Source organism: Homo sapiens, chromosome 4 (genome assembly GCF_000001405.40).
Source record: "Homo sapiens chromosome 4, GRCh38.p14 Primary Assembly".
Lineage (NCBI taxonomy): Eukaryota > Metazoa > Chordata > Mammalia > Primates > Hominidae > Homo > Homo sapiens.
This window is the reverse complement of record NC_000004.12, coordinates 153,304,290-153,318,159: the sequence shown is the minus strand read 5'-3', so window position 1 is coordinate 153,318,159 and position 13,870 is coordinate 153,304,290. Positions and strand designations below refer to the sequence as shown.

General features: G+C 40.6%; 1 protein-coding gene and 1 pseudogene across 34 annotated transcripts in view; one reads left to right on the top strand and one right to left on the bottom strand.

Moving 5' to 3' along the window:
* The window catches only part of TRIM2 (tripartite motif containing 2), a 187,155-nt gene that overhangs the window by 21,158 nt on the left and 152,127 nt on the right, over positions 1-13,870 (bottom strand). For all 33 annotated transcript variants that reach the window (NM_001375517.1, NM_001375514.1, XM_011531796.4 and 30 more), the window contains 2 exons: positions 2,572-2,675; positions 2,161-2,328 (listed from right to left, as the gene is read on the bottom strand). In NM_001375517.1, coding sequence (NP_001362446.1) covers positions 2,161-2,328; positions 2,572-2,675 — 272 coding nt within the window. The remainder of the gene's footprint in view (positions 1-2,160; positions 2,329-2,571; positions 2,676-13,870) is intronic.
* Positions 9,349-10,691, top strand: ANXA2P1 (annexin A2 pseudogene 1; annotated as a pseudogene). Its single transcript, NR_001562.2, has one exon. The product of NR_001562.2 is annotated as an annexin A2 pseudogene 1 (transcript).

Below are 13,870 nucleotides of genomic sequence, written 5' to 3'. Positions count from 1 at the left end.
CAAAGTGATGACCACCAGGTGCCTGCATGAGGACATGAAGCCCAGATCACAGCTGACCAAACAAGACTTCATTTTTTGGACAGGGTTACTAGCGGCATGGAAAAGAACATTCATTTCTTAGATCCTTATTTTGTATGTGGCACATAAAATCTCATTTAGTCTTTGCTTAAATCCTATGAGATAGGTCTTTTTTTTCTTTTGAGACAGGGTCTTACTCTGTCACCTAGGCTGCAGTGCACAGGTGTAGTCACGGGTGACTGCAGCCTCTAACTTCTGGGCTCAAGCAATCCTCCCACCTCAGCCTCCCAAGTGGCTGGGACTACAGGCCTGTGCAACCACACCTGGCTAATTTTATTTTTTGTAGAGGCAGGGTCTTGCCATGTTTCCCAGGCTGGTCTTGAACTCCTGGGCTCAAGCAATCCTCCTGCTTCAGCTTCCCAAAGTGCTGGGATTGCAGGCATGAGCCACCATGCCCAGGCAAGATAGATCTTTTTTTTTTTTTTTCTTTTTGAGACAGAGTCTTGCTTTGTCGCCCAGGCTGGAGTGCAGTGGCACGATCTTGGCTCACTGCAAGCTCCGCCTCCCGGGGTTCACACCATTCTGCTGTCTCAGCCTCCCCAGCAGCTGGGACTACAGGTGCACGCCACCACGGCCGGCTAATTTTTTTGTATTTTTAGTAGAGACGGGGTTTCACCGTGTTAGCCAGGATGGTCTCGATCTCCTGACCTTGTGATCCGCCCGCCTCGGCCTCCCAAAGTGCTGGGATTACAGGCTGAGCCACTGCGCCTGGCCAAGATAGATCTTTTTTAAATCAAAATTTTAAAAACAAGGCTATTGAAGCTCAAGGAAGTTACGATTTGCAGATGGCCAAACAGTAATAAGCTGGGATGGCAATGTGTTGATCTGAGTTAAAACTCATGTTATCAACAGAAATAGAAGCCTCTAGTAGGCTGGACAGGGAAATATATAAGGCATAATGCGGCCAGGCGTGGTGGCTCACGCCTGTAATCCCAGCACTTTGGGAGGCCGAGGCGGGCGGATCATGAGGTCAGGAGATCCAGACCATCCTAGCTAACACGGTGAAACCCCGTCTCTACTAAAAATGCAAAAAGTTAGCCGGGCGTGGTGGCGGGCACCTGTAGTCCCAGCTACTCAGGAGGCTGAGGCAGGAGAATGGCGTGAACCTGGGAGGCAGAGCTTGCAGTGAGCTGAGATCGCGCCACTGCACTCCAGACTGGGTGACAGAGCAAGACTCCGTCTCAAAAAAAAAAAAAAAAAAAAAAAAAGGCATAATGCAAATGGCCCTTACAAAGATCTTTGACGACGTGTCTCACAATTTTTTTATGAGCAAATGTAGAAAATGGGCGGGCTGATACAATTCTTTGATGACACTTCATAAGAGAGATTTCTGTTATCACCAGAGGGCTCTCTACTCTTTGGCAATTAGGTGAAGACATTGAGTTAAATTTTTATTTGCAAAAAGCTGACGCTGGGAATGATAGCAAATATATCAAACAATGGGATCCCTCAAAGTGTAGCTCCACTTCCATTTTCTCTGGAAATTCAGCCTTTTCTTTTTTTTTCCAAGTCCCATATTATGTACGTATGTTTTCAGATTGTATCAATGTACGACTCATTAGAGACTGACATAAATTGTTTTCTGTCATTTCTTGTGTTTGAGTCTTTTTTCCAAAATGGGCCTGTACATTTTTAAAAGGTGGAAACTATTTTTTACAATTCTGTTTCTCCCATATCATCTGTCACAGGCCTGAGAAAGTAAAAAGTACTTCCTAAGTGACAACATGTAGACTAATTTGAGAAATATAAACTGCCTCTTAATAACTCTTTTGAAAACCTTGTTGTTTTTCATTGAATTGAGGTAACAGGACCAGTTTCCCTGTAAATCTATGGTTTTAAAGAAAAAAAGTGACTGAGCAACCTAATTGCTTTAAAAAACAAAGCCACATTTAGGATATATATGAATAGATTTATGAAATTATCACTGTTACTCTCACTTCACAAACTTAGATGTCAGATATCTTTGTGTATGAAGAATTGTTGAATGTTGCACTGCATCTCAAAAAAGAAATATGCAATTTCATTTTGTATTTCCTGTTCCTTCTCTCCATTGTTTAGTGAACAATTAGTAGTTAATCTTACCTTAAATTTCCCATCGGAGGAGAAAATGCTGACCCATTTATTATCATAATCGGCAATGATTATGTCCCCACTGGGATGTACAGCCACTCCTGTGGGCCGCTGCAGCTGCCCCGGAGAGCGTCCCCGTATGCCAAAACGACTTTTGAACTGGCCATCATTGGAAAATATCTGTAAGATAAATTACATTCATTGGAATGTGAACTAGTACAGGCATTGCTGAGGAAGGCATAGGCAGAAACATCTGCCATACATACAGAGATCAGAACACGCAAACTCTATTTGAAGAAAAGTCTACATAAACATAAGCTTTTTTCCTTACACCATGTATCTGAAGTCTAAAGTAGGAATATATGTAACTATATATATTTTTATCAATATAAGTAGTTAAAGGTATATAATTAGGGGCTATACCTGCACACATTGGTTGTTACTGTCTGCAATTAATATCTTTCCATTTGTAGATGCAGCTACCCCCTGAAGATTTGTAAACTCTCCTTTATTTCTTCCTTTGGTACCTAAAATAAATGATAAAATCATAAAAATTAAGCACTAAAGGGTTAGATTTCTCTGTTTCAGCAAGAGAATAATTCAGATTTCCACAGGTACCTGAGAATGCATTGTTTTTAAATATACTTTAAAAAAAGGGCACCCTCCCTCCCCAATAACCTAATCCATATGCTATTAAACCTCTCTTCCTGACAACAGTCTCTGCAAAATCACTTTTTTAAGTAAATGTCAATCTTCTCTTATTAATTTGTAGCTGCATATTAACATGTTTAAAATATTCTTAGATCCCACAAAGACATCATAATAAAAACTAATACGGCCTGCCTTTATCTGACATGGCTTTCCCACTTTACCCTATGGCACTGCTATCTGTCAGGTCTGTGCTGCCTTGGGCATGGCAATAAACATTCTCAGCCCTGGTCACTCTGCCTCTGTCTTCTATCTTTGTGGACCTGGTTTGCATTTGGGGTGTGTGGGGCATTTGGGATGGTTCAGACTCAGTTTGGGTCCTGCCATTCTTGGTTTTAGTGGGAGAGGGAAACCTGGCAAAGGGGCCTTGCCCTAAGGATATGCAACAGGAAAGGGCCTTATTTTACAGTTTTGCCAAAATTCTACCCTCTCACTCAGCAGCTCTTGGAAGAAATGTGGACGCTTGGCTTTCAGTACATTTGACAAACCGAAGGCCACAGATAGTTATAAAAATAGTAGGCGATTTTCATATTATGGATTTACTTATAGATTATTTTCAAAGATTCAATATCTCAGAGGCTGGATATTCTTCCTGAAATTATAAAAAGATATTCTCGCAGGGTGCTTTGTAGATTAGATAAGAAAGGCAAAAGGAAATTCATTAATCCAAGAAAATATTTCCACCCATACTAGATTCTTTTTTTGATTTGTTTTGTTTGTTTGAGACAGGGTCTTGCGATATTGCCCAGGCTGGTCTCAAACTCCTGGGCCTAAGCGATGCTCCTGTGTCAGCCTCTCAACTAGTTGGAACTATAGGTACATACCACAATAACCACCACACCTGGCCATACTAGACTCTCTTTTTTTTTTTTTTTTTTTTTTTTGAGACGGAGTCTCGCTCTGTCGCCCAGGCTGGAGTGCAGTGGCGGGATCTCGGCTCACTGCAAGCTCCACCTCCCGGGTTCACGCCATTCTCCTGCCTCAGCCTCCCAAGTAGCTGGGACTACAGGCGCCCGCCACTACGCCCGGCTAATTTTTTGTATTTTTAGTAGAGACAGGGTTTCACCGTTTTAGCCGGGATGGTCTCGATCTCCTGACCTCGTGATCCGCCCGCCTCGGCTAGACTCTCTTTTAAAAGAATAGATGAGGCAGAGAGAAAAACAGCAAATCATCTACAGGTTAACGGACATCTGGTTTTGTTTTAAAAGAAGTTTTTATGATTTATTTCAATAGGATGATGTAAATATTAATGAATGGAAACAATGAATTTTGCTCAAAAATGACCAGGAAGGAAGATAAATTTTTCATAGAGAGAGAGAACCATTCTTCAGGTTTATAATTTCATTTATATTCAAAAGAGCAATTTGGGCCGGGAACAGTGGCTCATGCCTGTAATCCCAGCACTTTGTGAGGCCGAGATGGACGAATTACCTGAGGTCAGGAGTTCGAGACCAGCCTGGCCAACATGGTGAAACCCCATCTCTACTAAAAATACAAAAACTAACTGGGCATGGCAGTGTGTGCCTGTAATCCCAGCTACTCGGTAGGCTGAGGCAGGAGAATCGCTTAAACAAACATGGGAGGTGGAGGTTGCAGTGAACTGAGATCACACCACTGCACTCTAGCCTAGATGACAGAGCAAGACTCTGTCTCAAAAAAAAAAAAAAAAAAAAAAAGAGCCATTGCTATTTTGTTTTTCGACATCAATGCAGTGCCTTAGGAAAGGGTAGACAAGGATGCACTGGTGGTGGCTAATGTAAAACACCTGCTTAAGCACTGTTTGGGAATAGACTTGTCTGAAACAGATTTTTGGGTTTAGGAATTGAAATTGGTGATGGATTAAACTTAGAATAAAATCAACAACAAAATTGCTGGGCAGAATCATCATAGATGAGCTGGTTCTCACCAGACCCAGGTGGTGGTCAGTTCATTGAATCATGGACCCTATCAAGTTTACTCACTAACTCTGCATCTCATCTACTCGCACTAGCGTGAAAGAAAAATTTGAGATCCAGATACTGTCATATTTTAATTCAAATGTATCAGAAGAAAGGATCTTCAATACACGACCCACATAGAATCCCCATAATATGCATGAATATGGAAGCAGTGAACACTCGTGAAATGGCGAGTTGTTTCTGGTAGTGGGGAGCAGGAAAGGAGTGGTTGGCCCTCGAAGGGGGATATGTGCCAACATGGTTTGAAGTTAAGGAGAGCTTGAGTCTGTTTCCCACATGTAAGTTAAATCACAAGGTTGGAGGAACATCTGTTTGTCTAACGTTGCTTATATATTTCTGAAAGAATCTAGATGAAACGGGCACTGCCATTTTTATTTTATATTTGTTTTAAAACAAATATTATTTTTGGTCTTTCCCCCATGTCTGAATAATAGCTAGGTAACAGGTACAGCAAAACAGATGGGCTAGAAACAGAAACAATTCTAAAATGCTCAGCTTAGAAATAATTTTTCAAAGGTGGTATGGACAAGCCAGGGTCTCTTAAGAATAAAAACTTTGCTGTTGTGAATAGTGCCGCAATAAACATACGTGTGCATGTGTCTTTATAGCAGCACGATTTATAGTCCTTTGGATATATACCCAGTAATGGGATGGCTGGGTCGAATGGTATTTCTAGTTCTAGATCCCTGAGGAATCACCACACTGACTTCCACAAGGGTTGAACTAGTTTACAGTCCCACCAACAGTGTAAAAGTATTCCTATTTCTCCACATCCTCTCCAGCACCTGTTGTTTCCTGACTTTTTAATGATCGCCATTCTAACTGGTGTGAGATGGTATCTCATTGTGGTTTTGATTTGCATTTCTCTGATGGCCAGTGATGGTGAGCATTTTTTCATGTGTTTTTTGGCTGCATAAATGTCTTCTTTTGAGAAGTGTCTGTTCATGTCCTTCGCCCACTTTTTGATGGGGTTGTTTGTTGCGGCATTATTCACAATAGCAAAGAATTGGAACCAACCCAAATGTCCAACAATGATAGACTGGATTAAGAAAATGTGGCACATATACACCATGGAATACTATGCAGCCATAAAAAATGATGAGTTCATGTCCTTTGTAGGGACATGGATAAAATTGGAAATCATCATTCTCAGTAAACTATCGCAAGAACAAAAAACCAAACACCACATATTCTCACTCACAGGTGGGAATTGAACAATGAGAACACATGGACACAGGAAGGGGAACATCACACTCTGGGGACTGTTGTGGGGTGGGGGGAGGGGGTAGGGATAGCATTGGGAGATATACCTAATGCTAGATGACGAGTTAGTGGGTGCAGCGCACCAGCATGCACATGTATACATATGTAACTAACATGCACATTGTGCACATGTACCCTAAAACTTAAAGTATAATAATAATAAATAAATAAATAAATAAATAAATAAAAGAATAAAAACTTCATTTATCAAAAACATTTTATAGGCCAGGCATCATAGCTCGTGCCTGTAATCACAGCACTTTGGGAGGCTGAGGCAGGAGGATTGCTTGAGGCCAAGAGTTCGAGACAGCCTGGGCAACACAGTAAGAACCCATCTCTACAAAAAAAAAAAAAAATTGATAAACACAAGCATGGAATTAAACAAGATGAGGAAATGAAGACCAATTAACTGAGGCTGGACCATAAACCAAAGAAGTGACTATATAAAACCCAGGCTATTCTAGATTCTTGCTTATATAAAATTGAAAGTGCACCCAGGCTTAGAGGGCATACAAGGAAGGGAAAGAAATACTGAAAAACAGGAGAGAAGGGGCTAAAAAGCACCTGAACAGAATAGATGAACACTGATTTACTGTCTTTGTGGTCCAGGTAGGGACAAAAACTGCCTGCTGCTCTCCTTCCTCTAGCCTTTTGTCTATCCTGCTAGAATGATGCCTATTCTATTCAGAAGACCATGCAGACAGTAGCAGCTTATAAAAGGAAAAGAAAAAAAAACAGAGAAAATAGTGCTTTAGTACTAGTCAAGGAGGTGTCTTAGTCAAAAAGAGTCTGTTTTCCTTTTGAAAATATGGACATGATGTTGGAGGAGGGAAAATATGAGGAAAAAGTACTAACACTTTTTGTTCTTTACAGAAATAAGCACACGTTTTTTCAGTGTGAGTAGAAATGGGCAATAGTTGTATTTTGGGGTATAATTTTAAAACTTGGGAAGATATTTAGTTGGATTCCATAGTAATAGACCATTCAGAGCAAGGAGAAGGAAGACTCTATGCTTAGCTTGACATGAATGTGAGATGTTCCATACCTGCTAATACTAGGTCACAAGAGCAATGGACTGTGTTGCAAAAGACCACACTGCTGGAAAGAGGTTCCATGACCTCTGCTGAACTCAAGGGCAATGTGTTGGCCCAGCTCTTATTCTTGGTTTGAATTTAAGGAGAGCTCAAGTCTGTTGCCCACATGTAAATTAAATCACAAGGTCAGAGGAATGTCTGTTTGTCTAACATTGCTTATATATTTTTGAAAGAAGCTAAACGAAACAGGCACTACCATTTTTATTTTGCAATATTTGTTTTTAAAAAATCTTTTCTTTAAGCTCTATGGCTTGGTTTCTGAATGGCTGGTTGGGATTCCTGGTAACATCTCCTGATTCTTACGGTCCTCTTTTGTCGTATTGGAGATTATTGATTATTATTATTTTTTAAACTCTACCTGAAAGCACAGCAGAATCAGTGTGTTACTCCTGAAGATTAAAAGGACACCACTAGCATATACTTGGGAAGACAATTGATGCCAACTATTTTCACCAACAGTTAAACTAGAAATATCTTGATGGTGATGCAGCACTACAGTAGATTGTCATTATGCTGCAATGTTCAAGTGTTTGTAAAGTGTCTTAAGGCAATTCCAGAAGTTAGAAATAATTTGGGATCATGCCTTACTCTTCAAGCTTTTCAGTAAATTCTGTTTCATTTGTAGAAAGTCTCTTCTCTCTCTCTAAAGTATTCTAAATATATAATAAAAACTAGTTCTTTCATAACAAATATAAATAACACAAAACACATATAATACTTATAAAATATTTTTCTATCTACTTTAATGTAAAAGATTTCATTTGATGGTTACATATTAGCTAGTAGAATGAATAACAAGAATTTTTAAAGTAATTATAATCAATTTAACAATTATTCTATAATTCCATAATTAAATCATTTTGTTTTTCCAGATGCAAGTCTAGCCTATGAAGCACAAAATGAATTTTTAATTCAACAGCTTCTCACCCATATTCTTCCTGGTCACTTCCACCTACCCCTCCAGGAAGATTACATAAGGTGAACCCTTAGACTGAAATAGGGGATCAATAAATGCAGATTTCCTCTCACCACCCACTCCAACTTAATATGAAATTAATGCTGGCCGGGCACAATGGCTTACACCTGTAATCCCAGCACTTTGGGAGGCCAAGGTGGGTGGATCACTTGAGGTCAGGAATTTAAGACCAGCCTGGCCAACATAATGAAACCCCATCCCTACTACTAAAAATACAAAAAATTAGCTGAGCATGGTGGCGCATGCCTGTAATCCCAGCTACTCAGGAGGCCGAGGCAGGAGAATTGTTTGAACCCAGGAGGCAGTGGTTGCAGTGGGCTGAGATCATGCCACTGTACTTCAGCCTGCAAGACTCCATCTCAAAAAAAAAAAAAAAAAAGAAGTTAATGCTAAATAAATCTAGATGTTTTGAATGGAATCATGCAACAAGATGAAACTGAGCCAAGTGTAAGATCTAACACAGGATCTTCAATCAAGTAGGTGCTTAACAAATGTTTGCTGGATGAAAAAGTGCATGAATAAGTTATTAATGAGTGAGTAAATTACAACCCCCATTGTATCACTGGAAAACAAAATGTTCAATTATATTTATAGCACTTTCATGTACATTTTCTCACATACCATCCCATGAGATAGCAGGACAAACATTATCATCCCCATTTTATAGATGAGAAAGTTGAAGCTAGACACATTACCGAGATCATCAGAGACAGGGGGAAGAATAAAACCTGGTTCTCCTGATCCTTTACATAACACTTTTTTCCCCAATACACACATGGCTTCTTCTGGGTTTTGGTGGTGAAGATAATTACATTTTGGGCTCACATGAATCATGTTTTCTCTTTAAAATCCTTTAGAAAACCCCATCCTTTAACACATGATACTTTATTTAACTGTCTGTATCCTTCACTACACTGTAAGTTGCTTGAGGGCAGGAGCAACATCTGTCCTGTACACCATTGCACCCTATAACACAGCATAGTGCCTAGCACTTAGTCAATATTAGTTGCATCTTTTTCCACTTGAAATGCAAGAAGAGTTCCCAAGGATGAGATTCTCAAGGATGGGGTGAAGGTCCTATAATGACCTAAGATGCCAACTTAGCACGACCTCCCTCCTCATATATTTTAGGGAGGAAAGGTGGTAGTTTGCAGAGGTGGGGCAGGGGAGAGGGGCATAAAATAATATATTTTCAGCTCAGCATCTGGGGACGCTCTCAGGTCTTGGTGCCCAGCCCAGCTTCCTTCAAAATATCTGCTGTTCATGAAATCCTGTGCAAGCTCAGCTTGGAGGGTGAACACTCTACACTCCCAAGTGCATTTGGGTCAGTCAAAGCCTACACCAAATTTGATGCTGAGCAGGATGCTTTGAACATTGAAATGGCCATCAAGACCAAAGGTGTGGATGAGATCACCACTGTCAACATTTTGACTAACCACAGCAATGCACAGAGACAGGATATTGCCTTCACCTACCAGAGAAGGACCAAAAAGGAACTTGTATCAGCACTTAAGTCAGCCTTATCTGGCCACCTAGATAGTGGCTTTGGGCCTATTAAAGACACCTGCTCAGTATGATGCTTCTGAGCTAAAATCTTCCATGAAGGGGCTGGGAACCAACAAGGACTCCCTCATTGAGATCATCTGCTCAAGAACCAACCAAGAGCTGCAGGAAATTAACAGAGTCTACAAGGAAATGTACAAGACTGATCTGGAGAAGGACATTATTTCGGACACATCTGGTGACTTCTGCAAGCTGATGGTTGCCCTGGCAAAGGGTAGAAGAGCAGAGGATGGCTCTGTCATTGATTATGAACTGATTGACCAAGATGCCCGGGATCTCTATGACGCTGGGGTGAAGAGGAAAGGAACTGAAGTTCCCAAGTGGATCAGCGTCATGACCGAGCGGAGCATGTCCCACTTCCAGAAAGTATTTGATAGGTACAAGAGCTACAGTCCTTATGACATGTTGGAGAGCATCAAGAAAGAGGTTAAAGGAGACCTGGAAAATTCTTTCCTGAACCTGGTCCAGTGTATTCAGAACAAGCCCCTGTATTTCGCTGACCGGCTGTACGACTCCATAATGGGCATGGGGACTCAAGATAAGGTCCTGATCAGAATCATGGTCTCCCACAATGAAGTGGACATGTTGAAAATTAGGTCTGAATTCAAGAGAAAGTATAGCAAGTCCCTGTACTATTACATCCAGCAAGACACTAAGGGTGCTGTACCTGTGTGGTGGAGATGGCTGAAGTCCGACACAGCACGAGCGTCCAGAAATGGTGCTCCCCATGCTTCCAGCTAACAGGTCTAGAAAACCCGCTTGTGACTAGCAGTCCCTGTGGCTGTTCCTGTGAGGATGACGTTAGCATTGCCCCCAACCTCATTTTAGTTGCCTAAGCATTGCCTGGCTTTCCTGTCTAGTCTCTCCTGTAAGCCAAAGAAATGAACATTCCAAGGAATTGGAAGTGAAGTCTATGATGTGAAACACTTTGCCTCCTGTGTACTGTGTCATAAACGGATTAATAAACTGAATTTGTACTTTAGAAACAAGTAAAAAAATATATATTTTTTTCCTGTAAAGTCTCTGAATTCATGCTAAGCGATTTTACACATCCATTTTAAATTACACTGTTCTAGAGTAAAATGAGTGTTTCATTCAACTTTTCATCTACTCATTAAGGTATGGTGTATAATGAATTAAATAATTTGAGACTATTCACCTGTAATTCTTTCATTCCCTCCCACATCATCTGACTTACCCTTTGTTCAATGACTCTTTTTAGTATAATAGCTAATAAAACCAGCTCATGGTTTCTAGTCAGCAAACTCTTTAACAGTCAAGGAAATATAATCCCTGTGTTTTAAATCATCATCAACAGATGCTCTAAGCTATTTCTCTAAACTCATTCAGGATTGTTTTCTAATACAATATTAGAGTAATGTAATAACTCACTCACAGTGGGCATACACTTAAGTTTTCAAGTATTAGAAGCATCAAATATATCAACTTTGGAAAACCAAATAGTTAAAGGGCATTTTCAATGAAGAGGAATCATTGTGCAATTTAAAAGGCAGGGGCTTCACTTCTCTAAGCTTCCATTTCTTCAACAGTAAGGATAATTATATGTTGCCCTAGTAATATGGCTCTTGGCAGGGCAAGGACTGGGAGCCTGGGAGGCCAGGGGAGCTCTGATATGTAGCATTTCCCATTTCTGCAGTGTAAATGCTTTCATCCAGGCCAATTGCAAGCTACCAATATGAAGTCACTGAATAAGCCAGTATGGCCTGGCTCCAGCATAACAAATATGATGCTGTAGGGTTATTGGGAATGGAAAGTATATTATATCTACTAAGAATTGTAAGTAGCAATTCTTGCCTGGCTCAGAGAATGCCTGTTCGTTTCTCCTGCTTCCATTCCCCATCTATTCCTTCTTGAACTACAACGCCTATCTTTGACATTTCACTGAAGCTCATGATTTAAAGTAACTTCTCTATACTTTTTGCTTCCAAATTGATGTCTCTAGCCCTGACTTCTTTGCTGAGCTCCAAACCTATACTGCAAACTGCCTACTATACACTTCAACCTGGAAGATCAAAACTGACACATATCTGCTCTTCATCTTGGCTTCCTTTTCTTGGTTAATAATGATAATGACAATAGCAGTCAATATTTATTGAGTCCTTACCATGTGCCTGCACTGTTGTAAGCCTTTACATGCATTATTTTAATCCTCACCATATGTGGTATACATTAATATCATTCCCATTTTACAGATAAAGAAACTAAGGCACAGAGAGGTTAAATAATTTCCCCTAAGTCATATGGCTAATAATAGCAGGCTGGGATTCAAACTGAGCAATTAAACTTTTTTTTTTTTTTTTGAGATGGAGTCTTGCTCTGTCATCCAGGCTGGAATGCAATGGCATGATCTTGGCTCAATGCAACCTCTACCTCCCGGGTTCGAGCGATTCTCCAGCCTTCTGAGTAGCTGGGATTACAGGCACCCGTCACCATGCCCAGCTAATTTTTGTGTTTTTAGTAGAGACGGGGTTTCACCATGTTGGTCAGGCTGGTCTCAAACTCCTGACCTCGTGATCTGCCCACCTCAGCCTCCCAAAGTGCTCCCACAGGCATGAGCAATTAAACTTTTGATCTCTGCTATAGTTTGAATGGGTCCCCCCAGAAAGTTACTGTTATTAGAACCTTAATTCCCAAAGTGGTAGTGTTGAGAGGTGAGGCTTTTAAGGGGTTATTGTGTTGTGAGGGCAGAGCCCTCATGAATAGATCAATACCATTTTGGAGGGGTGAGTTCTCACAAGAATGAGTTGTTTTAAAAGGGAGCTGAGCTTGTTCTTGTGGTCTCTTTTGCATTTGCTCACTTATCCTTCAGCTTTTCCACCATATTATGATGCAGTACAGAAGCCCTAGCCAGAAGCTGCCACCATGCCTCTGGACTTCACAGCCTCCAGAACCATGAGCCAAATACAATTATTTCCTTTATAAATTACCCAGTCTCAGGTATTCTGTTATAGCAACAGAAAAGGGACCGAGACAAGCTCTTTATCTACCATATTTCTATTTATGTTAACTATTAGTTCTAGACTACAACTGTGAATATGCTAACTAGTACTACCTACTTTGCCTCTCTAAAATGTACTGGACACTATTTAATTCCAGGCATTGTTCCAAGCTTTTTTTGGTGTTAATTAATTTAATTCTCAAAACAAAGGAAACTTTGTAACTTTATAAAGGAAACCGAGGCACTGAGAGGCTAAGCAACTTACCAAAAATTGCACAGATAGAAAAGTAGCAGTGTTGGGGCAGTCTAGCTTCAGAGTTCACAGCCTTAACTATCTACTCTACTGCATCACTTCCCTACAGCACTCAAGTCTAACAGCTGGGAGTTTAAATTGTTCACCAAATTTCTCTCTCTCCTTCCAAAACATTTTATAAACATGCTGTTTTCTGTCTACTCCATCACATCACTCTAAATCCTGGCCCTTATAATAGCTCATGTGGACTACTGCAAAAGCTTCTTAATCATCTCCCTGCTCCCTTGGGAAACATTTCCAATAGATCTCCTATAATGCCTCCAGGTTCTCTGGAAAGTAAATATCTTAGTAAGTCACTACACTACATTACACCATTCAAAGCCTTCTCACCACCTGTATAATAACTATGGTTTCCAAACCTTAGTGTGCATAAGTAGCACTGGAGCTTGCAGAATGCAGATCCTTGGTCCATCTCAAGAGATTCTAATTCTGTAAGAGCAGTTTGGAATTCAGAGATTTTAAATTATACCAGGCACCTCAAGGCATTCTCGTGCATGTGGTTTATGGACCACACTTTGAGGAACACAGGTTCAGAGAACAAAGTCCCAGCTCCTTATCAAGGAAACAACCTCCTCTCTGCTTGTATCTCATTTCATTTGATGCTCCAAAATAATGGAATCATTTACAGTTCCTCAAACTACTCAGTTTCTCACTTTCATGCCTTTGTACCTGCTTTCCCTTCCTATAAAACACTCTTTTCCTCCTTCCATCTGACAAATTATTTCTCTTTCAAACCCAGCTTAAATTTAAATGTCATCTCAAGGGGCCGGGCATGGTGGCTCACGCCTGTAATCCCAGCACTTTAGGAGGCCAAGGCGGGCAGATCACTTGAGGCCAGGAGTTCAAGACGAGCCTGGCCAACATGGTAAAAGCCCATCTCTACTGAAA